The sequence below is a fragment of the Homo sapiens genome, chromosome 12, assembly GCF_000001405.40.
Source record: "Homo sapiens chromosome 12, GRCh38.p14 Primary Assembly".
Lineage (NCBI taxonomy): Eukaryota > Metazoa > Chordata > Mammalia > Primates > Hominidae > Homo > Homo sapiens.
The window spans coordinates 52534656-52557007 of record NC_000012.12 but is presented as its reverse complement, the minus strand read 5'-3'; the positions used below and the strand labels follow the sequence as shown (position 1 = coordinate 52557007).

The 22352-nt window shown below is 51.5% G+C and overlaps 1 protein-coding gene across 4 annotated transcripts, besides 2 other annotated features; it reads left to right on the top strand.

Moving 5' to 3' along the window:
- On the top strand, positions 3863-13099 carry KRT71 (keratin 71). Of its 4 annotated transcripts, XM_017018749.2 has the most exons (10): positions 3863-3988; positions 4044-4371; positions 6765-6979; positions 7655-7715; positions 8212-8307; positions 8692-8856; positions 9026-9151; positions 10502-10722; positions 11409-11443; positions 12265-13099. In XM_017018749.2, exons 2-10 carry the CDS (start codon positions 4177-4179, stop codon positions 12474-12476), a joined length of 1326 nt encoding a protein of 441 aa, XP_016874238.1. In that variant the 5' UTR covers positions 3863-3988; positions 4044-4176; the 3' UTR covers positions 12477-13099. The 4 variants fall into 4 exon arrangements, with proteins under 4 accessions (XP_016874238.1, NP_258259.1, XP_047284153.1 ...); NM_033448.3 differs by having other exon boundaries at positions 3863-4371; XM_047428197.1 differs by lacking the exon at positions 9026-9151 and having other exon boundaries at positions 3863-4371.
- Positions 8342-8841: an enhancer, noted in NCBI's record as "H3K4me1 hESC enhancer chr12:52941951-52942450 (GRCh37/hg19 assembly coordinates)". NCBI's record gives its function as "activates a minimal SCP1, AML or CMV promoter by ChIP-STARR-seq in primed H9 embryonic stem cells {active_cell/tissue: H9 hESC(primed)}" and the evidence as "EXISTENCE:reporter gene assay evidence [ECO:0000049][PMID:30033119]".
- Positions 8842-9343: an enhancer, noted in NCBI's record as "H3K4me1 hESC enhancer chr12:52941449-52941950 (GRCh37/hg19 assembly coordinates)". NCBI's record gives its function as "activates a minimal SCP1, AML or CMV promoter by ChIP-STARR-seq in primed H9 embryonic stem cells {active_cell/tissue: H9 hESC(primed)}" and the evidence as "EXISTENCE:reporter gene assay evidence [ECO:0000049][PMID:30033119]".

The window sequence follows — 22352 nt, the reverse complement described above, 5'->3', positions numbered from 1 at the left end:
GGTCTGAGTTGGCAGATTCTTTGAGCCTGGGGCCTGAGGGAACCCCACTCCCTCCCTTTCCTACAACATCAGATGACACTGCGTGGGAACGTGCTGGTCCAGAGGAGAGAAAGGAGAGAGGGGAGGACAGGCCAATTCCCCAATTCTACTGAGCTCTCTGCTTTTAGTTGTTGATAACATTTATTATGTATTTTATAAAGCAGGCACTTTCTATGGATTAACAGGTTATCATCACAACTATCTCACCAGGAGTTTATTTCCCATTTACAGCTGGGGAAGTTGAGGCTTAGAGAGACCGAGCAAACTGTGCGGCTGAGTGGTGGCATGGAATTCAGATCCCTGCAGCAGCCTAGGCTCCAACCTGGTGCCACTCCAGGTGGACAACAGGCCTAGAAGCCCCCTAAAGATGCCCTGACTCCGCTCTGTTTTGTTGCTTCTCCAACAAGGGGCTATTCACTGATTCTCCCATACCTGGGAGGGGATGTTCAGAGGCTGGTCCTGGGCTCTCAGGGAAGGCACAGAAGGAGGAATTGACTGGGACATGGGACCCTCCCCAGGACCCAGGACCCAGGACCCAGGCCCTAGGAAACAGCAACCTGCACATGGGTGTCAAGGGACGGAGGAGTCGGGACGCTGGGGAGGGGAGACTGCAAAATCCAGGGTTTTAAGCAGGAGTTCAGAAGAGCAGTGGGATTGGGGTCAGAGGAGATCGGGAGATAAGGGGTTCCAGGCTGAATAAGAATAGCTTGGCAAAATTTTGGAGGTAGTCGAAGATGGGGCCAGTGGGTGAGATGTCCTTGGCTGGGGCATCGAGGAAGGAGGTTGTGGGATGGGTTGGGGTGGCTGCAGCAGCGGCAGGGACACTAAAGGCTGGGCTAGGGCTCTGCCATGCATGTCAAGAAATGCAGCTTTCAGAGCCAGAGATGGAGGACCACAAGCAAGAGCTCTAGAAAACCTTCAAATCTTCAGTGTACACCACCAACTCCTGTGTCCCCAGCACTGAGCATGGTGCCAGCATACAGCAGGCACTCAGTAGAAGTCCACCAAAGGAAGAAAGGAAGGGTGGGAGGGAGGCAAGGGTTCTAGAACCAAACTGGAGTCCACTTGCCCGGCCCAGGAAGACCAGATATCTACACCGAGGTTTGCAGCAGTGGAAAGGAAGGCGTTTATTTGCAGGGCACCAAGCAAGAGGGACCAGGCAGCTAATGCTGAAGTCCCAACCTCCCTGATGGTGTGAAGATTAGAGGCTTTAAAGGCGGGGTAAATTTCAGCAGAGCAGAAGTTACAGGCGAAATTCAATACATGAAGGCTACACATTGGCTTTGGCCTAAAAGGGCAGGATGTCTTTCTTTTTTTTCTTTATTTCTTCTTAAAAAAAGTAGGATACCTGTACAGAACGTGCAGGTTTGTTTCATAGGTACACATGTGCCATGGTGGTTTGCTGCACCTATTGACCCATCCTCTAAGTTCCCTCCCCTCACCCCTCACCCCCCAACAGGCCCTGGTGTGTGTTGTTTCCCTCTCTGTGTCCATGTGTTCTCAATGTTCAACTCCCACTTATGAGTGAGAACATGCGGTGTTTGGTCAGGATGTTTTTAAGTGGGAGCTCACAGGTCATAAACAGATTCAAAGATTTTATGATTTGCAATTGGTTAAGGAAGAGAAACTTTGTTTAAAAATTTGGGGTCAGCAGAAAAGAGTGTTAGCTCTGGCTTGTAGGTGTGACATTCTTCAGGCCCCTCAGGAAGAAATTTAGAACAAAGAGTGGTGGTCAGAGCTCAGTGCCCAGTGTCCCTTCATCTGAGGTCTATGTGCCCAGGCATCCCTTTTGGTGGGGTTTGGGTTTCTGACAAACAACTCTGGGACATATGTTAAGGTGCTATCTTTAGTTTCTATGGCGGAACCAAACATCCCACGATTCCAGCTTTCGTGGCTGTTGTTTTGGGCTACTGTTATCTTCTTGCTTGTCAGGTTGCTTATTTATTTCTCCAGGCTAGCAAGGTGCCCAGAATTTCCCTTGAAGGAACTCAAGATTGTCCTTTATTTCCATGCTTGAGGGGACCTGAAGGCCCCTACGAGGGCGTCCCTGCTCCATCTCAGAGTGCACTAGGTGGTCTCTAATCTGGAGAAGACTCTGCTAGCCTTACAAAGAAAAACTAAGATGACATGTGACATGGCTTCAGAGGATCCCCATGGGAGCTGTCACAGAGTTGCAGCCCCACCAGCACATGCTAAGGATGTGTTCAGAGCGGAGGGAGGTAAGGAGAGCTCAGACCTGGCCTGTGTGGGTGCAGGAAGACCTCCTGGAGGAGAGCAGGATGGGGAAGTGACAGAACAAGAGATGGCGAAAGGCTGAGAGGGAAGGATGGAGGGAAGATGGATGGGAGGGATGAGGAGGGATGGAGAGAGAAGGTGAGAAAGAGAGAAGGCAGGGATAGGAAAATTCGGGTAGTTTCAGTAAGAGCAAAGAAGACAAAATGGCAGGGGCAAGAGTAGAGGAAGGAATGCAGAGGATTGGGAGGGACTGGAGTCCAGGCTCTTCCCCTAAACAATATGAGAGAGAGCCCCAAACCAGCCTGTCTCCAGATTTTCTTCCCTCCTGTGCCCCACCCAGCAAAGAGCTGCTGTTCACCCATGGGGCTCCAGCAGGGATCTCTGGGCAAGGGTGATCTTCAGGGACAGAGCTGCCTTGGGTTGAATAGGGCCACAGTGGCAATGGCGATCATGGGAGTAGCTGGGGCCCAACACAGGAGCCAGTGGCTAGGAAGCAGGGGCTGCAGCCAGAGTCTCTGGGGCTGGCATCAAAGGACTGTTTGGAGTAGAATGACATCGTGCTTACTGGGTCGCCCCCATTGGGTCTTTCTGGTCTGAGCCTGCCTGGAGGCTTGCACTCCTGGGGAGGGCTCAGCCAGCCTTGTTCTTGGCTCACTTGGGCCTGGACAGAGGCAATAGGAGTTAAGTTTCATGTTGATAACAGCTTCTTTATTTGAACTCTAAACAGATGATTACTGTCCTCAAGTTGTTCCTAGTCTTATTAGCAGATACACATTGGAGGAGAGACAGAAATGAGGAAGTGGACCACCCAGGAATCTCCATAACCCTCCAGGCCATGGGCCAGCCTCTGTCTTTGTCTTCTCTGTACCTCCTTCCAGTCAAGTCCCTGAATTTCTCAGCCACCTGCCCCAACTCCATCCTCCTTTTCTCGTCCTCATTTTCTCCAGTGTTTGAAGCCTCCAGCCTGCTTTATTATGGGTGTTTGAGGGGGGAGAAGTGAGGATAGTGCCCGTGGTTGGCTCTGGCCTGGGCTGCTTCTGTCCCATGCTAGCGAGAGGGTCACTCCACCTCCTAATACCCCATGAGTGAGAGCAGCTGCCCTCTATGGGTTATGTTTCCAGGAGGCCTGGGGAGAGGTAATGCCTGATCAGTCCCTTTCCAGGAAGGAGGAGAACAGAAGTTGGAGGCCCCAGTACTCTACCCAGTGTCCTGAACTATCCAGGAAAGTCCATCCTGTCTTCACCTGCTGCATCCCCAGGAGGAAGCCAACAACCCAGAGAAGATTAATCAGGATAGGGATGGTGCAGTGCCAGTGACATCCCCCTGGAGAGGCCAGGGCCTGGGGCAAATTACCCTATAACAGCAGGTTAATTAGATAAGACCCAAATTACATGAGCAAAGCTTGCAAGCCCAGCAATTTGAAGGTTTCATGTTGTTTCAGAGGTGGAGAGGGCTTGATCTCTAGCTCAGCATAGAGAAAATGACTTCTTGCTCCCAGGCAAGCCAAACCCACGAATTAAGCTCTTGACTGCCCATCCACAAGCCCCAGTGCCAAGCACATATAAAGGCACCTGCCAGTCCTCACTACAACCAGCAGAACCTTTTGGGATTTTGCCTTCCTCCCTCCTGCATCTGAGCTTTGTCTCCACCAGCAACATGAGCCGCCAATTCACCTGCAAGTCGGGAGCTGCCGCCAAGGGGGGCTTCAGTGGCTGCTCAGCTGTGCTCTCAGGGGGCAGCTCATCCTCCTTCCGGGCAGGGAGCAAAGGGCTCAGTGGGGGCTTTGGCAGCCGGAGCCTCTACAGCCTGGGGGGTGTCCGGAGCCTCAATGTGGCCAGTGGCAGCGGGAAGAGTGGAGGCTATGGATTTGGCCGGGGCCGGGCCAGTGGCTTTGCTGGAAGCATGTTTGGCAGTGTGGCCCTGGGGCCTGTGTGCCCAACTGTATGCCCACCTGGAGGCATCCACCAGGTTACCGTCAATGAGAGCCTCCTGGCCCCCCTCAACGTGGAGCTGGACCCCGAGATCCAGAAAGTGCGTGCCCAGGAGCGAGAGCAGATCAAGGCTCTGAACAACAAGTTCGCCTCCTTCATCGACAAGGTGGGTCTTCTAGGGCCTGGGGAACTTGTGAACAGCCCTCCTCTTCTCTTCTTGGAACATACGATTTTGTTACAGCAGGAGAGATTGAGGTTAGATGTGAGGAAGACTTTACTGTGGACAAGGTAGGTACATCCCATCAACAGGGTGACCTGTGTAAGGTTCTCTGTGTTGTCTTTCCAGAGAGAAAACAGAGGCAGGTCAATTTCTACTGGCAGAGGCTTCTCAGGGCTCCCAGCAAGAGATGTGGTCCTTCCTCTTGAGGGCTAGCTTGGTGCCATTGCTAGGCCTGCAGGCCGTGTGCAGAAAAGGCCTGTGAGAGCCAGTCTCGCCCAGAGTAAGCAGGGAAGCTGTCCTCCTCCCCTGGCATGCTGCCCTGCCCACTGGTCACTTGCCCAGCGGATCAGGAGCAGCAGGAAGGGGCCGCTTCAGGCCCTCTGATTGGGCATTTGCTCCAGTCAGTTGAAGACTTTCTTGAGAGGCAGAAGAGGGCACTGGGGAAGGGGACTCCACGGTGCTCTTGTGCTCACTGCTGGCCACAGCTGAGTGGCTCTGGGAAGGTGATCTGCCTGTCTGTGTTGCCATCTCCTCATCTCTAAAATGGAGATAATAACTTCTGTCTTGGGGTTGTTGTCAGGCTTATAAAAGAAAATGCAGGTGAAGATCTTGTCACAAGCCTGACGCACACTAAATACTCCAAAAATGATTGTGATTGTGACTCTCATTTCTTATCTCTGGAATGTGGGGGAGGGAAGCTCAGGGGAGGAATCAAAGGTGTCTAGAGACCTGAAGAGATGACACAGTCCAGATAGGCCCCTGACTTCTGGCAGAGAAGAAATGATTATCCCTATCGTATGAGTCACTGAAGGCATGGAGGTAAATGGCATTCCCAGGGTCATTTGGGGAAAGGGAAGGGTGAGGCTGGACCCTCAGCCTTTTGCCTCCAGACCCAGAGGAGGAGACTGGAGGGTTCTGTTGGCTCTGTGGCAGTCAGGCACCAAGGACGGGTCAACCCAGGACAAAGTCTATGGGTGAGACGGTCATGTGGCCATCAGAGCTTAGCCAGCTCCTGCAGCTCAGACTTCCTGCCTGGAGGAGTCCCTGCTGCCCTCGGCTCAGCCTCAGGGGCTAGGACTGGCTCTGCGGCTTCTTATTCTTCTAAGCCTTTTCATATCTGCAAGATCAAAGTGTTCTGAGATGGGGTCTGGGTGATGGGAGTGGACTGATTGATTCTTGGCTCGGCTGGTCAAAACCTACAGAAGGATAAAGTCTGGAGACATGGGAAGAAAGATGAACATGAGGAGGGTCACATCCTGTTTATAAAGATGGTCTGCCCAGAGGGAGGGGAAGGAGGCTGAAAGGCTTGGACAGTTCCCAAATAATTTCAGTCTCCAGAGATCAGTCCCTTAACCTCAGGCAGCCAGAGAAGACGGGTAAATCCTTTCGGCATCCAGATGTGTTCAGTAGTGCAGGTGTGTATTGTGGTGTCTCAGATGCAGGATTTACTCTGTGGTTAATGCTCAGCCTCGTAGATCACATGAAAAATTCAGGATTGGTTAAACCAGACCAAATGCTGGAAGACGGGCTAGAGACAAATTTTCGGGGAATAATTCTATCTTGACACTGAATCTTAGATAGTTTTCCCATGTCTTGTGTTTCTGATGTTGGGGAAGACAACCTTATTCAAGCAGTAGCTGTGCTCATGTAGATTAAGGGAAGTCACATTTTAAAAACTGTGCTCCCCATCCCCAAAAACCAAACAAGAGGTGTGTATGGACATCTCCTTCTGGCCAGTTTCCTGCCTCAGTGAGGGGCTACAATGGGATCAGGAGCTCCATCTGTCCATCATGTTCCATGTGCCATGCTTGTTGCAGAGAAGATGGTTCTGGGGAGCAGGACCAAGGAGGGAGAGGAGGGGCTATAAGCAAAGATGAAGCTGGTGCCTGCTCCAGGCATTTAAAATACCTAGAAGCCCTTGGCCCAAGCCTTACTGAGCTCTGACATGCCCTGAAATGAAGAGCAGACTTTTCTTCAGGATGGTCAACCTGTCCAAAATGGTGGACCCATCCTGGCTTCTCTGCTGGTATTTTCAATCACAGCCAAGCCCTGAGTTGGTGCAACCATGGAGGGTGCTGGGTGATTGCATGCACGGGTTACAGGGACATGTGTCTAGATTCAGTTCCGGGCTCCACCGCTTCTTAAACTGTTGGGCCTTGGAAACAGCCGAAGTTGCTCTGTGTCTCAGTTTTCTCTCCATAGCAGAGGGTAATGATTTGCCCACCTCTTTCAGCTCTATTGAGGAGAAAATGCAGATAGAAGCTTTACACAATGCCCTGTGAGAGACACGTGTGACTATTACTGCAAGGGTTCAGCAGTTTCTGGGATCTGGGTTCCAGGTGCGGTTCCTGGAGCAGCAGAACCAGGTACTGGAGACCAAGTGGGAGCTGCTGCAGCAGCTGGACCTGAACAACTGCAAGAACAACCTGGAGCCCATCCTCGAGGGCTACATCAGCAACCTGCGGAAGCAGCTGGAGACGCTGTCTGGGGACAGGGTGAGGCTGGACTCGGAGCTGAGGAATGTGCGGGACGTAGTGGAGGACTACAAGAAGAGGTGAGCAGGAGGAGTCCCCCTGTAACTGGACAACTGCCCTTGTCCCTCCAAGGGACCCCTGGCAGTCACCCCAGCTTAAATGCTTTGGAGGTCAGTGGAGGGCATTGTTCTTGGTCATATCAAGCAGAATCACCCCAACAAAACTCTGGAACTTGCTCTCTGCTCCTCCAGCCTCTGGCCTGACTCTTAGGACAAATGCCCAGTGAGCTGGGCAGTGGGCAGAGGGTTATCTCTGGCTCTGGGTTTAGGGAATGTTTGGGGAAACCACTCACGTTCTCCTCCCATGTAAGAGGAGGGTTAAGTGCATCTGGCTCCAAGACTGCTCTCAAGGGTAACTGAGGAAATGCAGATTGGAGCGCTTTGTCATTTGTAAAGCTGTACTCAAATTTGGGGAGGGCAGTTCACATCCTGGTTCCTCTGAGAGTCCCACAGGGCATTCGCTCCATGTGCTCCTTCCTCGTTTGCCAAGCTGGATCTTTAACAGTCTCATTCTTCCAAACTGGTTAGCATGTTCCCTCCTCCAGGAAGCCTTCCCCCACTTACCCCTGCCCAGTACTCTGCGGCCCCCAGCACCTGTATCTTCTGATGGACACGCTGCTCCTTGCTCAACGCTGCCCTGTGAAAGCAAGGGCTTTCAGTGAGATATTAACCAATGAGCCCTCGCCATTCCCACAGGTATGAGGAGGAAATCAACAAGCGGACAGCAGCAGAGAACGAGTTTGTGCTGCTCAAGAAGGTGAGGGGAAGGCAGGCCCTGAGTCCCGGGGGCTGGCCTGGGACCTGGAGGAACAGAGCCTGCCAAGGTGCTCTGTTAGCCCCCCTCAAGGTGAACTGATTCAGGAAGAGCAAGGTGAAGGCAGAGAAAACTTGATGAAAGACTATCCAGAAAAAAGAATGAAAAGGCAGGGAGGGTGCCAGTGAGAGGACACCTGACTGCATGTCCAATGCAGCTGTGGTTTGAACACGGAGAAGAATACAGAGGACAACACTGAGGGGCTCCCCTGCAGCCCCGGGACCCAGCTCAGACACCACAGGCGCTTCATTCCTGCCGAGGGAACAGATTCCCAGGGTGGGGTGGGGTAGGGCTGGGCCTTTGCTCCTTTGTCTCCTTTCCCAAGGCAAAGTGAAGAGAAGAGAGTGACTCCTTCTTCACTCAGGGAACCCAGGCAGGGATGGCTGCTGCCTTTTTGGCTGTACCAGCAGTGACAGGGGATGGTGGGGGCATCTTTCAGGATGTGGATGCTGCTTACGCCAATAAGGTGGAACTGCAGGCCAAGGTGGAATCCATGGACCAGGAGATCAAGTTCTTCAGGTGTCTCTTTGAAGCCGTAAGTCTGTCTGCCCACTTGGTTCATCTAGGGGAGGCTGGTGGGTTAAACTCTATTCTAGGGGCTGCAGGAGACATGGAGGCCCCAGCCCTCAGTGAGACCCCTCAGTTAGCCAACCATCTCCCGCATCAGACTTGCGAGGCTCCTAGGTCTGCACACTCTGAGTGGGAAGGGAATCGGCCAGGCCCTTGCTCCACGGCAGTGGGAATCTCTCTGGGCCCAGCAGGGAACTTGCTTTGCCGCAAAGCACACAGCCCTGGATGGCAGCAGCCTTGGGTTCCAGCCTCCAAGATGGCATCACCAGAATTTGCTCATCTTGTTTGGGGGTGGTGGTTGGCTTCCGACAGCAGTTGAGCCGAGAGACCATTTCTGTGTCCCCTGCAGGAGATCACTCAGATCCAGTCCCACATCAGTGACATGTCTGTCATCCTGTCCATGGACAACAACCGGAACCTAGACCTGGACAGCATCATTGACGAAGTCCGCACCCAGTATGAGGAGATTGCCTTGAAGAGTAAGGCCGAGGCTGAGGCCCTGTACCAGACCAAGGTGAGCTGGGCTGAGGTGGGGCCAGGGAGGGTGATGCCAGCGGGCAGCAGATGGAGACAGATCGTGCCCAGAATAGAAGCAGTGTCCCAGTAAGTGTCTGTTGTGTTCTGATCCCAAGATACATGCACTCCCACGACACACTCATGACTCTGTGCTTTGGGGTCCCCAGTTCCAAGAGCTTCAGCTGGCAGCTGGCAGGCATGGGGACGACCTCAAAAACACCAAGAATGAAATCTCGGAGCTCACTCGGCTCATCCAGAGAATCCGCTCAGAGATCGAGAACGTGAAGAAGCAGGTGAGAGCACGTTGGCCTTGGCCTGTGGTCAAGTGCAGGGGAGCATGAGTAGAGGGGAGATGAGCTGCTGAGAACATGGGCCTCCCAGATCGCTGCCTGGGAGAAGAGAGAAGGCCAGTGAGGTCGCTGCCTCAAACACCTGGAGCAGGACGTCCCTGGGGGCTACTCATCTCTGACTCACTCCAAGGACCTCAGCCTCGAAGCCCCTCCTTAGAAAGCCTCCTCGGCACTGGGCTAAGACCTTCCCCCAGCGATGTACCCTCCTGGCACCTGTGCTTCCCTGTATTTGTCACACTTCCTGTTATTACTGACACTGCCACTAGACTGAAAGGGGGCAGGGAGCTGGCTGCTTTGTACCCTGTTTCCCCAGCATCTAGCACAGTGCCTGGCACATAGTTGCAGCTTGATAAACATCTGTGGAGTTAATGACTGAGATGGAGAAATGGGCTCAGGGAGCACCCATTAAGGTGCATTGTTAAGGATTGACTAGGGACTACTCCCAGGAATATAGGATGCAGCCTCGGCTTGTAGGTGAGACACAAGATGTACATATACGATAGCAATGGCAGCGGCACCTATTCTTCTATCGCACTTCATCCTCACCAAGACCCTGAGAGGCAACAGTTGCCCTCGCTGTTGTTACAGATGAGGAAACTGAGGCTCAGAGAGGATAAGGGGGTTACACAGCTGGTAAGTGGCAGAGCTGTGATCTGAACCAAGGTCTCCTGACTCCTAGTCCAGTGCTCCTTCTATTCTTTTGTGGGCTTTAACACTTAGTTGCTTTGTGATCTTGGACAGGTTACTTCTGCTCACTTCACAGGGTGTTGCAAGGACTAAATGCGTTAAGTTATGTCAATGGTATGTACAGTATTGAGCCTGGTGCTGGCATACACTAAGTGCTTGGCAAATAACGGTTGCTCCCGGGGTGTGTCCTTCCCTGTCCCCCTCGACTGTGGTGCCCTGTTCCTGGGCAGCTGCTGCCTTTGCGTCTGCCACAGCATATTCGACCATCTCTCCTCCCAGACCTAAACAACTCAAGAGTATTGCTGTCATTCATTTCGTGCCCTTGGCACAATATGGCTGAATAAATGTCTCTATGCTGAACTAAAGTGGCGCTCAGGAGGGCATGGCTGCATGATTTCCATCACCCACACATCCAACACAGGGAATGGGGCTAGAGCTAAGGAGGGAGGTGCCAGCCCCAGAAGGGGCTCTGCTGCAAGGAAGTGTGATGGTGTGTGTAGGGTGGAGGCGGGCCACTCTGCCCCACTCTAAGGACCCAGAGGGATTGGATGTGGATGGTTGCAGTGGCTCCTCCAAATTTTTCGACTTCACCAATTCCTTCCTTAGGCTTCCAACCTGGAGACAGCCATCGCTGATGCTGAGCAGCGGGGAGACAACGCCCTGAAGGATGCCCGGGCCAAGCTGGACGAGCTGGAGGGCGCCCTGCACCAGGCCAAGGAGGAGCTGGCGCGGATGCTGCGCGAGTACCAGGAGCTCATGAGCCTGAAGCTGGCCCTGGACATGGAGATCGCCACCTATCGCAAGCTACTGGAGAGCGAGGAGTGCAGGTGGGCGGGGCGTGCCCAGACAGGAGGGCCCCAGGGGTTTGGGAAGACCCAAAGGAGAAAGCCTAACACATCTCAATCCAGAAGAGATGAGTTCTTAGGAAGTGATGGGGTGATGAGGATAGAAATAATCACAGTAATTAACAATACTACCATGAGTGGACATGAGTATCCACTCAGTAGACTGTGAGAGCTTGCTTCATGGCAGGCACTATGCTATGTAGTAAGCTATGCAGATTTGCTCGTTCTTCCTGGGCATACTAGAAACAACCACCGCCCTGCTCCCTGCAAAACCCCATTACTCTATTAGGCATTCTTGTTCCCTCTTCCTGATCTGTCCATGTGCAGCTTGTTGGGGGTGTGCCGGGGCAGCCACCCCAGCTTCCCCAGGGCTCTACAGGGATGGCAGGCTGGTGTGTGGACCTGACACGTGGGAGGTAGATACACTGCCCCTACGTGTGCACCTTTTGTAAACTATTGTTTGACTAGGGTTGTTGTCTGGTTACCCCAAAGATTTGGGGGTAGTCTCCAAAACTTCTCAGGCTCTGCTTGCATCAGAGAAGCTTTGGAATTTCCACAGGTGCCTGTTGGGTCCAAAAACCCACATAAGGCTGATGGTGGCAGTAGCTTTAAAGAGACTGAGCTGGATGACTTCTCTTCTCCTCTTATTTTATTTCTCTCCTTAATAGGATGTCAGGAGAATTTCCCTCCCCTGTCAGCATCTGTAAGTATTTGTATACTTTCACCTAAAATTGTAAAATCTGCAGCCTGGAAAGGACCTTAGTGACACCCTCTGTGTGCAGATGAGGGATCTAAGAACCAGAGAGGGAAAAGCTTTGCCTGAGATCACAAAGCCAGATGGCAGAGCCATGGCCAAAATCGGCTTTCCTGACTCCCAGGCCAGGCCTCCTTTATTCTTATCCCTCTGACTTTCTGTTCCTAGGGGATGGCAGCAATGGAAAGCTATTGTCATGGGAAAGCAAGGGTTATGTTGTAGAAAAATGATGCATGGGTCTGTGTGAGGCTTAGGGAGTCAGGTTTGCAAACTGCAACCAGACTTGGGCTTGGGAAGTAGGGAGGGCTGAGGGAATGAGAGAATGAGGGATCTTAGAGGTCAAGCTGGCAGTATCAGATCACTGCATTGCTTAGCAGGGCTAAAAGAGTTAAACCAGAGCTTGGGAAAGATGCCTGCTGTGGGACAGCTAGCAGGAGGAAGAGGTTAGAGGCTGGGAAGTTTAGCAAAAAGGCTAATAGAAAGGGCAATGGGTGGGTGTCCAGGAGGACAGGTAGGGGTATTGGTACCTGGACCAAGGAGTAGGGCCTCTGAGCATTAATGGGGCAAGACTCAGCCAGATTGGATATAAGCCGAACAAGCCAAGGACAGAGCATTAGGGAAGCTGTCTTTGGTACATTCTCCCCAGGGAGAGGGAGCGGGTGTGCACCTCCCCACTCAGCTTCTCCAAGAAAAGCCCTGTCTGCCCTGGGGAAAAGGAGGCCTCCCCAGCTCTCTGCCTGAGTGGGTGTTGGCTTCGGCTCCTCCTGCAGCCATCATCAGCAGCACCAGTGGCGGCAGTGTCTATGGCTTCCGGCCCAGCATGGTCAGCGGTGGCTATGTGGCCAACAGCAGCAACTGCATCTCTGGAGTGTGCAGCGTGAGAGGCGGGGAGGGCAGGAGCCGGGGCAGTGCCAACGATTACAAAGACACCCTAGGGAAGGGTTCCAGCCTGAGTGCACCCTCCAAGAAAACCAGTCGGTAGAGAAGACTGCCCCGGGCCCCGCCTCATTCCATGACCCGGCTCTGGATCCCACACTGTACTTCCCACAGCCCACTCTCAGCTCCATCTCCACCCTGCTGGTCCTGCTCCCATACACCTGGCACTGGCCTTGGCCACCCACTTCTCCCAGCCTGTGTCTTCCTGATCCTGGGAAGGCCTGGATGACCAAGCTTGGTGAAATTCCTCCCTGTACACACCCTATTAACTCCTTGGCTGTGGTCCCCCAGCTACACCACCAGCCCAGGTCCTGGCTGCCAGCTTTCCTCCTCTGCCCGGCCTCTAGCGCAGTCGCTAACTACTCTGCTGGGCTCCCTGGGTCTCTGCCCAAGGCCCCGCACACACTGGGACCTAGCATAGTTCCTGCCTATGCCAGGAGCTGGCTCTGTGTTTAAGAAAAGGAGGACTGAAGGACAAACAACCAAGAGTGGCCCAGTCCCCACCCCCACATCTAGCTCAGTCTCAAATCTGAGTGGGACCAAGTGCAATTCAGGGCCTTTTTCTCCACTCACCTGCACCCAGAAGCAGAGAAAAGCAGGCACTGTTCACTTTTCCTTTATTCTTAATGGCCTTCCTCTGTTGCAACCTCAATAAACAGCACAATCTCATGGCTTGGTCTCTGAGTATTCAAAGTATGCACATGCACCTCAATTCACTCACATGAGCGCGCACCATGTACATTCATGAATGCATGAAGCACAAACACACACACACAAGTACATCACTGTGTATTGCCCATGCAGCCTATATGTCTGTGTTAATTTTCAGGAGGCAAATGGGGTGTGGAGCAGGGTCTGGGAGGAGGGGCAGGGAGGGAGGAAAGGAGAAGCCCAGAAAGCGTGTGCATGTACTGGCTGGAGGCTTCAGCAGATGGACATGCACAAACTGTGTCCAGTGACAGAGAAATGGTCGTGTTCCTGACCTGACCTTGCCTCTTTCTGAGACTGCACCTTTCCTCGTTGGAAGGTGGGCTTAGTGCACAGGTATTTGCATTTGTCCAGCCCTTTTCTCACCGCTCAGAGGCCTGGCCTCCTGCGGGGGTCAGCAGGTGGGAGTCCCACACTCTTGGCTTCTCAGATGGAAAGATAAGTAACAAGTCTTGGAAGTTGGGGCTGGTGTAGGGAGGAGTGAGCTGGGGTCCCACCATGGGGTGGGGGTGGGCTATGAATTTCAGTGACTGGGGGGTTGGCACTGCCCCAGACATACTCCTATCCCACCTTCCAGAACCACTATGGTGATGGCCAGTCCTGCCTTGGTAAGGGGTGTAAGGAGAGTGAACAGACAGATTCCCTAGGCCAGCTCTGTGTCTTGGGTGGGGAGGGGAGGTGTAGGAGGCTCAGGGCATTTGCAGGTGGGTGGGAAGCCAACGTCTTTGCAGTGAGTGGGCAGCGACCTAGTCTCACAGTAGCCACACTAATGACGTCATCTGGGGGAAGGAAGAGGGTTTCAGTTTCATAAAGGAGCAGGGAGGCCTGGTATTGGGGCTGGGCTGGAGGGGGATCAGAGGATGAAGGTTTGGGGCAAGAAGACCAAGTATAATGGAAGAGGAAGACAGAGGGTCCGGAGGAAGGGACGGATGGTCTGAGTTGACATCTAGGACATTTAGAGTAGTGACTGGGGCTTAGGGCAAGGCTCAAAAGCCCCTGCCCAGGAGATGGTCAGAGCCGGAGACTCCTGGCTGTCATCAACCTGTCAGCACCGTCATCTAGCAGGTGGGTAAGTGGAATAAGACTCAACAACATGTTTGCGTCCTTGATTGATAAGATGAGGCATGTGTGTGTGTGCATGCATGTGTGTGTGTGTGTGTGTGTGTTCAGTACTGGGCACAGACATTGCCATTTCCTCAGTGAAGGCACCATGCACACCTGCTGCCTTTGCTAGCCTCCTGCCTTTGCAACAGTAGGGACCGAGGTTGGATAGCAGAAAGAACTTTCCAGTTGAGAGGCTAAAAGAAATGGCTAGATTCTCAAATGTGAAGGTGGAGGCTTCTCTAGATGATGCTGGTTTATCTCACAGATTTGAGGAGGGAGGGAAGAACTCCCTTTATGCCCCAGGGCTCACAGAGTTCTCCTGAGTGGGCAGGGTTATCCTGGGTTCTGAGTCTGTTTTCTAGAGCCACAAAACCAAGTGCTGGAGACTGGAGCCTCCTGCAGGAGACTCAGAAACCCAGCACTGGGGCCCATGGCAGGGGCCTGAGCTATCAGCTTGACAGGTTCCAGCATGAGAAGGCAGGGCTTGATGGACAATTTTGGGAGCAAGTGAGGGCTCTGAGGAAAGGAAATAATGACAATGACTAGCAGGCAAGGTGTCCACCATGTGAATCTACATGGTAATTTGGTTATGGCTGCCAAGAGTAGTAGTTCTTTAAACAGGCTGAAAAATAACCCAGGAACTTAGAAAAATATTGCTGTCTAAGTCTCTACTCCAAACCAATTAAGTAAGGCTACCAGAAGTAGGGCCTAAGCACTGACTGGTGTATTTTAAAAGTCAGCAACGGAGTTCTAATGAGCAGCCAGAACCGGGAGCCATCAGCCTAAACTGTGATTTGGGGGATGCTATGGTGGCATCCAGATACAGATGGAAAGAATGGTTTGATCGATTAGTAATGTCTGCCACGGTCACCAGTGGAGGAAGTGATAGTGCATATTTTTCTTCTGATGGGTGCCTACCTGTTGCTTTACAGTTTAAAAAGCATTTTCATGCCCATTGCCTAAGAACAGCTCTGGGAGTGAAGGACTGTTGTTACGGCCATTATACAGATGAAAAAATTGAGGATCAGAGCCCCAGCCTATTTATAGCCACCCTGGGCTAGACCTCAAGGATACCCTGTGTATTGTCTGCCTTTTAGGGGGCCACGGGGAGAACAGTGGGTGCAGGCCTCCGGCTCGCAAGTCTGGACAGGAGTTTGTTCTTGGCAGTGCTGCCACCTGCCTGCTTCCCCCAGCTGGAAGGTTCCAGGAAGAGGCCATCGCAGGGTAAATGTGGAAGAGGACTAGTGCTGCAGGGACTCTTCACAAGGCCCTGGTGTCCTGATGGGGGGTGGCTTCTGTACTGTATAGCAGGAATTGCTCCGTTTAGTTTACCAGTGGGAACAAAATGTCAGTGGGTCAATCCCAAGGTGAGATGGAGATGCTGGAGGATCTCTTGGGCTGGAGACAGAGACTGGCCCAAGACAGCACTACAAGCAACTGGACAGCTTCATTGAGCAGGAGCGCTTTGTGCAAGAGGGAGCCTGGGGGCGGGGCTGCATGGCTGGGGCCGGGGTGAAGAAGGCATCCAAAGACAGAGGGGGCTGTGATTGCAGGACTATGGGAGATGAGGAGAGGAGTCATAGTTTGTTCGCTATGGAGTCTGTTTCCTCAAGTGCAGACAGTGAAGGCCCAATGCTTGACAATTGCCACTTGGGAGAGAGCCCTTCTCTCTTCCAGTTACTCCCACAGAAAGGACTTACTGGTCCTTTCTGGCAACTATCCTAGTGCCAGTGACCAGAGACTGGATTGCCTTCACCTTCATATTCCCAGCACATGCCTGGCACCCATTTGCACTCAGCATGAGCTGATGGCCTATCTCTCCTCCCCATGGGGCTTTGACTCCAGGCTTTCCCTGCGGACACTGACAGGAGCCGGTCCTCAGGACACCCAACTGGAGGGTGCCTGCAGCAGTCCAAGCCAGATACAGCAGCCCAGAGAGGGAACCACCAGGGGCTGCTGGGGGTCAAGCCGGCTGTAGACATGGAGGTTGGCACCCTCAGGACACCTCTGGGGCTGAGGAGAGCAGCAGGTTCCCATGGCACCTGGGCGTCTTGCCTAGGTGGCGGAGGCCTCCCAGCCTTGGCCACTGCTCAGCTCCTTCTCTCCATCTGCAGAGCCTCGCCCCCATGGCTTGTCCTGCACTTCAAACCCAGAGTACTGGGCAGGGGAAACGGAAGCTGATGTTTGTGGAGCACCTTCCATGGGCCAGGCTCTGGAGGCTGGGCACAGCTCCTTCATCATCCCTCTGAGGTGGGTGTTATTATTCCCAAGGCAGAGACATACCAATCCCAGGGCTGCAGAGCCAGAATCCGGTGAGGTCTGTCTCTCCATAACCCACACTCTTTCCACACCACTGCCCTGCCTCCCGGGATGGGAACTCTGTGCCCCTGCGGCTGCACCTTTCCACCCTCCCCTGATGTCCTGCAGGCTCCCTGCCCATTTTCTGTTGGCACTTCTATCATATTCCATCAGCCAAAGCCTGATGTCTCTGGGTCCCAGGCACTGGCTGGGTCCCTTTTCCCTGGGCTTTCCTACTGCATGCTGCCCGCAGAGGCTGTGGCCTGTTGTCACTTCCAGGCCGTGGAGGTGGATCCTCTCAGTGTTGGGGGTGTCTGGACAGTGCCTAGGACTCAGCTCCACTTTTGCCTTCCTTGAAGCCCTGGTCCAGAGGTGGCTAGAGCAATGCAGGAGGTGTGGGACCCACAGGAAGCAATGGGGACAGGGAGGAGTTGGGAGAGGGAGGAGGTGGTGGACTGAGGTGGAACTGGGGTGTGGAGGGTGGGCGTGACTTTGGAGGGAGAGAGGTTGGAGCAGACTGGGGTGGACAGCTTATCCTGAGCTGAGTTAACTGGGAGCAGAACCATCAGAATGAAACCTGAGACCAGCAAGAAGGCTCTGGAGAGGGAGAGAGGAGATGGGGCTGGCCGTGCAAGTGGCCTCTTCCGGGCACGGGCCTTTCTTCAGACATTGGTGTGGTGGTCCAGCAGGCTGGAGATGGCCATCTTGTCTCCCATCCTGGCTTTAGAAAAGTTCTACCTTACATCTGACCTTCACCCTCCAGCCACACGGGCCCTTGCTCCCAACAGCTCACTCCCTCCATGGCCAGCAATGAGGACTGTCTCTTCCCAGCTGGCTCTACCCTTGGCCTTCCCAGGCCTGCAGCCTGACCTGAGGCTCACTCTCTAATGTCCCTTCATTCAGTTGTGGCCTTCTCAAAGTGCCAGCTCAAGGAGAGATGCATTTTCAAGCCCAGGTTTCTGCCATAACTATTTCTTATTCCCTCCATACTTGACTAGAGTACAATTGCAGTCCACAGCTGGTGCTAGTGAAAGCGGTAGAGAAATCCACTGATGATCCAGAAATGAAGGCTACACCATAACACAGAAACTTCAGGATCACAGCTGAGCCAAATGGGAACCAGCTGCCCTCACTCGATCCAGATTTTTTTGTTTGTTTGTTTGAATAGATCTTTAATGGTCTTGGAATCCAGCCAAATGGGAAGAGAGGGGCCTCTGAGATGCCATGGAAAATCCTTGAAGCAAATAAAAGGTGGATGAATCATAACACTGGACTGCTTTAGGGATGGCTGGGACAAGGGAGGGTAGAGGGAAGATTCTTTCTCGATTTTCTCCCCAAAGCAAACAAAGTGAGTACCAGGGAAAGGGGCCCCATGCAGGCTGAGGCAGGTTTGGAAAGAGAGTTGGTGGGGACACTGCACCCTCTGAAGCCAGAAAGGCTGGGGCATTCCCTCTGCACATCCTCCCAGGCAAGTCCAGCTCAGCCTCAGGGCTCTCTGGATCTGAGACCCCTTAATCCATGGTCAGGGGTAATGGAAGGCATTTTCCCAACTCAGATGGAGGTGGCAGGGCCACACCTTTGAGCATCCTTCATGTTTGTGAGCAGCGTAGGTGTCCCTGGGTAAATGCTTTGGCTGGAAGAGATGTGCAGTGAGGGAGCCCTGAGCCAGGCCCAGAGCCTCCAGACCACTACAGTCAGACGTTAGGAGTCAACCATCATCAAACAGCATTTCACATCAGCTGCTGGGGCTGATTTGGAGCTCCAGAGAGCCAGCCTTTTATTTTGCCAAAATTGGACATTAAGAGTGCAACAATCACCACCCACTACCGTCATCATTTCATAAAAGAAAAGGACAATTTAACAGTAGGAAGGACATTCTCTCAGACTAAGCTCAGCCCTTTAGATAAAGTCAAGCTAGCCCCATGAAAGATTTACTGCATTGCACTTACTTTTCTCAATTGCTTCAGACTACTGAGAAACACATCAAACCTGCGCCCTGTCTCAGCATTTCCCATGTCACCTCTTTGTACCTCAGGGTCCTCATCTACACGATGGGAATATGACCACACTGTCAACTGCACAATGTTCAGAAAATCACCAAAAGGGATGGAGAAGGGGAAGCACACAGAAAAATACCAGGATCTCCTGCCTGTCAGGAACAAGGATGGCGATGATGAGGGTGACGACGATCCTGCAGGAGCGATGCCTTGCAGGGGTGAGGGGCCTGGCTCTGGGCCCAGCCTCCAGCAGGGCTGCCACACTTAGCAAGTTCTTTAATCTTCTTGAGTCTCTTTTCGCTTCTGTAGAAGTGAGGATAATAATAACAATAACAGTAATAATAATAATAATAACTACTTCTTTGCATCTTTTTGTTTGAGACATAAAATCCCAGGCCCATAGTAAGAGCTCAATAAATGTTAGCTATAGCAATAAATGATTACTATTATTAGATACAATAATACCTACCCTAGAAACTGTGGGTAATTTTTAGGGGTTCACTGGGGACTCTAGTCCTAAATCGATTTCCCAGCAGCGGGAGTACTTGTCTCCTCCTCCTTCTTCTTGTGCCCTAGACCAGTGTATTTTAGACCACGTTTCTGAAATGTTGCCTCCTCCAGGGGACTAATCAGAGCTTCAGTCTCTAACTTCCTTCTCCATCTCACCCCACTGCAGTGGAACTTTCCCCTGTACTTCTCCCTGAACCGAACTCTTGGAGTCTCCTTCTAAGGCCATGCCTTGCTCCAAAGTTCATGATTTACTTTAAACAGGATTGCTACTTCTACCCCCAAGTACCCCCTCCTCGACCTTTGGAAGTCTTGATCAATGTGTCCCCTGCATCCTGGAGGTTCCTGGTGGGCACAGCTTGGGTGGTGTAGTGTTTTTTGTGTGTGGTGTTCATGGCAGAATTGCTGCAGGCTGCACAAGGTGTTTGCGATGATGGCGATTACAAGAAACCTGCAGAGCCGCAGAGCTGTGTCCCCAGTGCTCTGGACACCATTCACTGGCACAGACTCCCCTCTCTGTGATGTAGGCACCCCTTGGTCTTGCTTCAGAGCTATCTTTGATGGGGTTAGAAAAGACTAGCAGACAGGTGGGAGACCTAGTCACCACCTGACATCCTGAGTGCCAGGCCTGTCAGCAGCCAGTACCGAAGGGCAAGAGCAGGCAGGCAGGGCTGGGGCTGAGTGCCAACCTGGGGAATGACATCTCTGTGGCACTGTGGTTGACTATCCAGGGCACGTGTCTACAAACTGGGATGGGAGGCAGGACAGTGGAGTGGAGAATAGACTGAAAAAGATGTCCAAAGTGGAAAAAAGGGAGGAGGGGAAGAGGAGGCGCAGGGACCTCTAGTCCACACCTCTGAGACTCTGCGGATTTGGAAAATGAAGGAAGGGAAGGGACAGGCTGTCAGTGCCACAAAGGACAGGGCCTGGGCAATGGGCTCACAGGGTAGCGAGAGGGGTGGAGACAGTGGTGTGCTGGTAACTAAAGTGTGCTGCTGAGCCTAACAACCAGCTCTCTGAAAAAATGCATAGATGTGTATATATACAAATATATATACATGTAAATGTGTATTTATGTTTATGTTATAAGTTTACTAGAAGTTTTACTGCTATATTAGATATGTAGCATACAGTTTACAAATAATAATAAAATCTACAAGTCTTTTTTTTTTTTTTTTTTTGAGACGGAGGCTCGCTCTGTTGCCCAGGATGGAGTGCAGTGGCACCATCTCGGCTCACTGCAAGCTCCGCCTCCCAGGTTCAAGCCATTCTCCTGCCTCAGCCTCCCAAGTAGCTGGGACTATAGGCGCCCGCCACCACGCCCGGCTAATTTTTTGTATTTTTATTAGAGATGGGGTTTCACCATGTTAGCCAGGATGGTCTCGATCTCCTGACCTCATGATCCACCCACCTCGGCCTCCCAAAGTGCTGGGATTACAGGCGTGAGCCACCGTGCCCAGCCCTACAATACTCTTTATTATAAACTTGATACAGCCAAGTGACCCTCATGGAATGCTTTCAGTTGGCTTTTGACAAACTCTTATGCCCATGGCTGGCCAGTGGCTGCAACCAACAAACCAGCATAGCCCCCACATGAATGTTAGCTCCCATGTTCATCTTCACAGTTAAGATGAACGTGAAATGATGAAGATGAATGTTGGAACTTACTTGCTCCTCAATGATGTGAGTGACTTTTTGGCTGAATCAGATAATGGGTTTTAAATACCGGGATATTATTTTGTATTTTTTGGCTATTCATAATGTTATTATCAATGGGCACAACATACTTTTAATTTTAATCTACGTTATAAACATTTTCCCCATCACTTTATTAAATTTAGACCAGAGCTGTCCAGTAGAAATGCAATGAAAGCCACAGATATTATTTAAAATCTGCTAGTAGCCACATTTAAGGAATAGACTAAATTAATTCTAATATATTTGACATAATATATAGAAAACACTATTCTTTCAATAGATAATCAATATAAACATTTTTGATGATATATTTTACATTCTTTTCTTCCATTCTGAATCTTCAATATCCAGTACATATGACATATCTAAGCTTGGACTAGCCACATTTCAAGTGCTCAGTTAGCCACATGGAACTAGTGGCAGCTGTGTGAGGCTGTGCAGCTCCAGACAATCAACCAAACAATAAACCAAGCTCTGATTTGTAGTGCTTGCCAGTTCGCTTGGGGTAAATTCTCCCACAAAGGTGATTTCAAGCTACCAACATGATGTCACTGATTACAGGCTGGAAAGAGATGTGAACACCATGGTAGGGGATTTCTGCATGTAGATTCAATAAATGTCAACAACCACAAGAACTTTGATAATATATCAAAGTAAAGTATAATAAAATTAGAAAATGATGAGTTTTAAACATTTCTTCCCTTTGTTTTTAATGCAATGTATTTAACTATAATTTTACATAATTTAATTTGAATTATGGCTATGTTTAATAACAGCTCACAACGTTCTTCAAAATTTAACAATCGGCTTTTGCAAACCCTTTCAGTTTGCTCTACCACAACAGTAGTCAGATATAAGAACACAGGGAGGTCTTCAAATGAGACGTGGTTTTTTTGCAACGATCAAAATGGGATTTATGTTTAGTGAAACTTAACAGACACTTATTGAGGTACCATCTGGTACAGGGATGATGCTGGAGGGTTGGCGCAGGACAGGGTGGCTACAGAATGAACACAATGTGATTCTGGCCCTCAGAGGTATTAAGGTTCTAAGGAAGCACAGATGATCACAGTAATAATAATATGTGCAAGTTAAAATGGTGGCCCTGAGGGTTGTGGATCCCAGAGGTGGCAAGGTTAAAGGGCATTTGGGTTCCAGACCTGGCTCTGTCTCTAAGTCACTGCCTCATTTTGCCCTCAGTTTCCCTTCCTGTTAAATGAGGGGGTTGAGCTGGGTGAACCCCCAGGTTTCCGTCCAGCCTCCAAGGTGGGTCTTCCAATGTAGCGACTGAAGAGTGTGGCTTTCTGGATTAAAGGGCATTGGAGCTGGGCTTTAAAACACTGCCTTCTCCAATGTCAGGAACTGTGAAGGTAAAAGGGGCAGGAACATGAAAGAAGCTTTGGGAAGATGAGATCCCTGGGCTGAATGCAAAATAAAGAAGGAAGAGTAAAGGGGGTAAGTACCAGAGTTTTAGGGGTAGGAGTGATGTTAGAGTTTATCTAGAGATCTACTAGGCCAGGGCTTCAGATTACAGATGGGGAACCTGAGGCTTAGAGGCGTTAAATAACTTGCCCCAGGTGACGCAGCCAGAAGGTGGCAGAATCAGGTCC

Excerpts from the sequence above, each read along its gene's own strand:
- KRT71 (NM_033448.3), top strand. The coding sequence starts at position 3,931 with ATGAGCCGCCAATTCACCTGCAAGTCGGGAGCTGCCGCCAAGGGGGGC. Across the intron at positions 6,980-7,654 it reads GTGGAGGACTACAAGAAGAG|GTATGAGGAGGAAATCAACA; the intron begins GTGAGCAGGAGG and ends CCATTCCCACAG. Across the intron at positions 10,723-11,408 it reads CTGGAGAGCGAGGAGTGCAG|GATGTCAGGAGAATTTCCCT; the intron begins GTGGGCGGGGCG and ends TCTCCTTAATAG.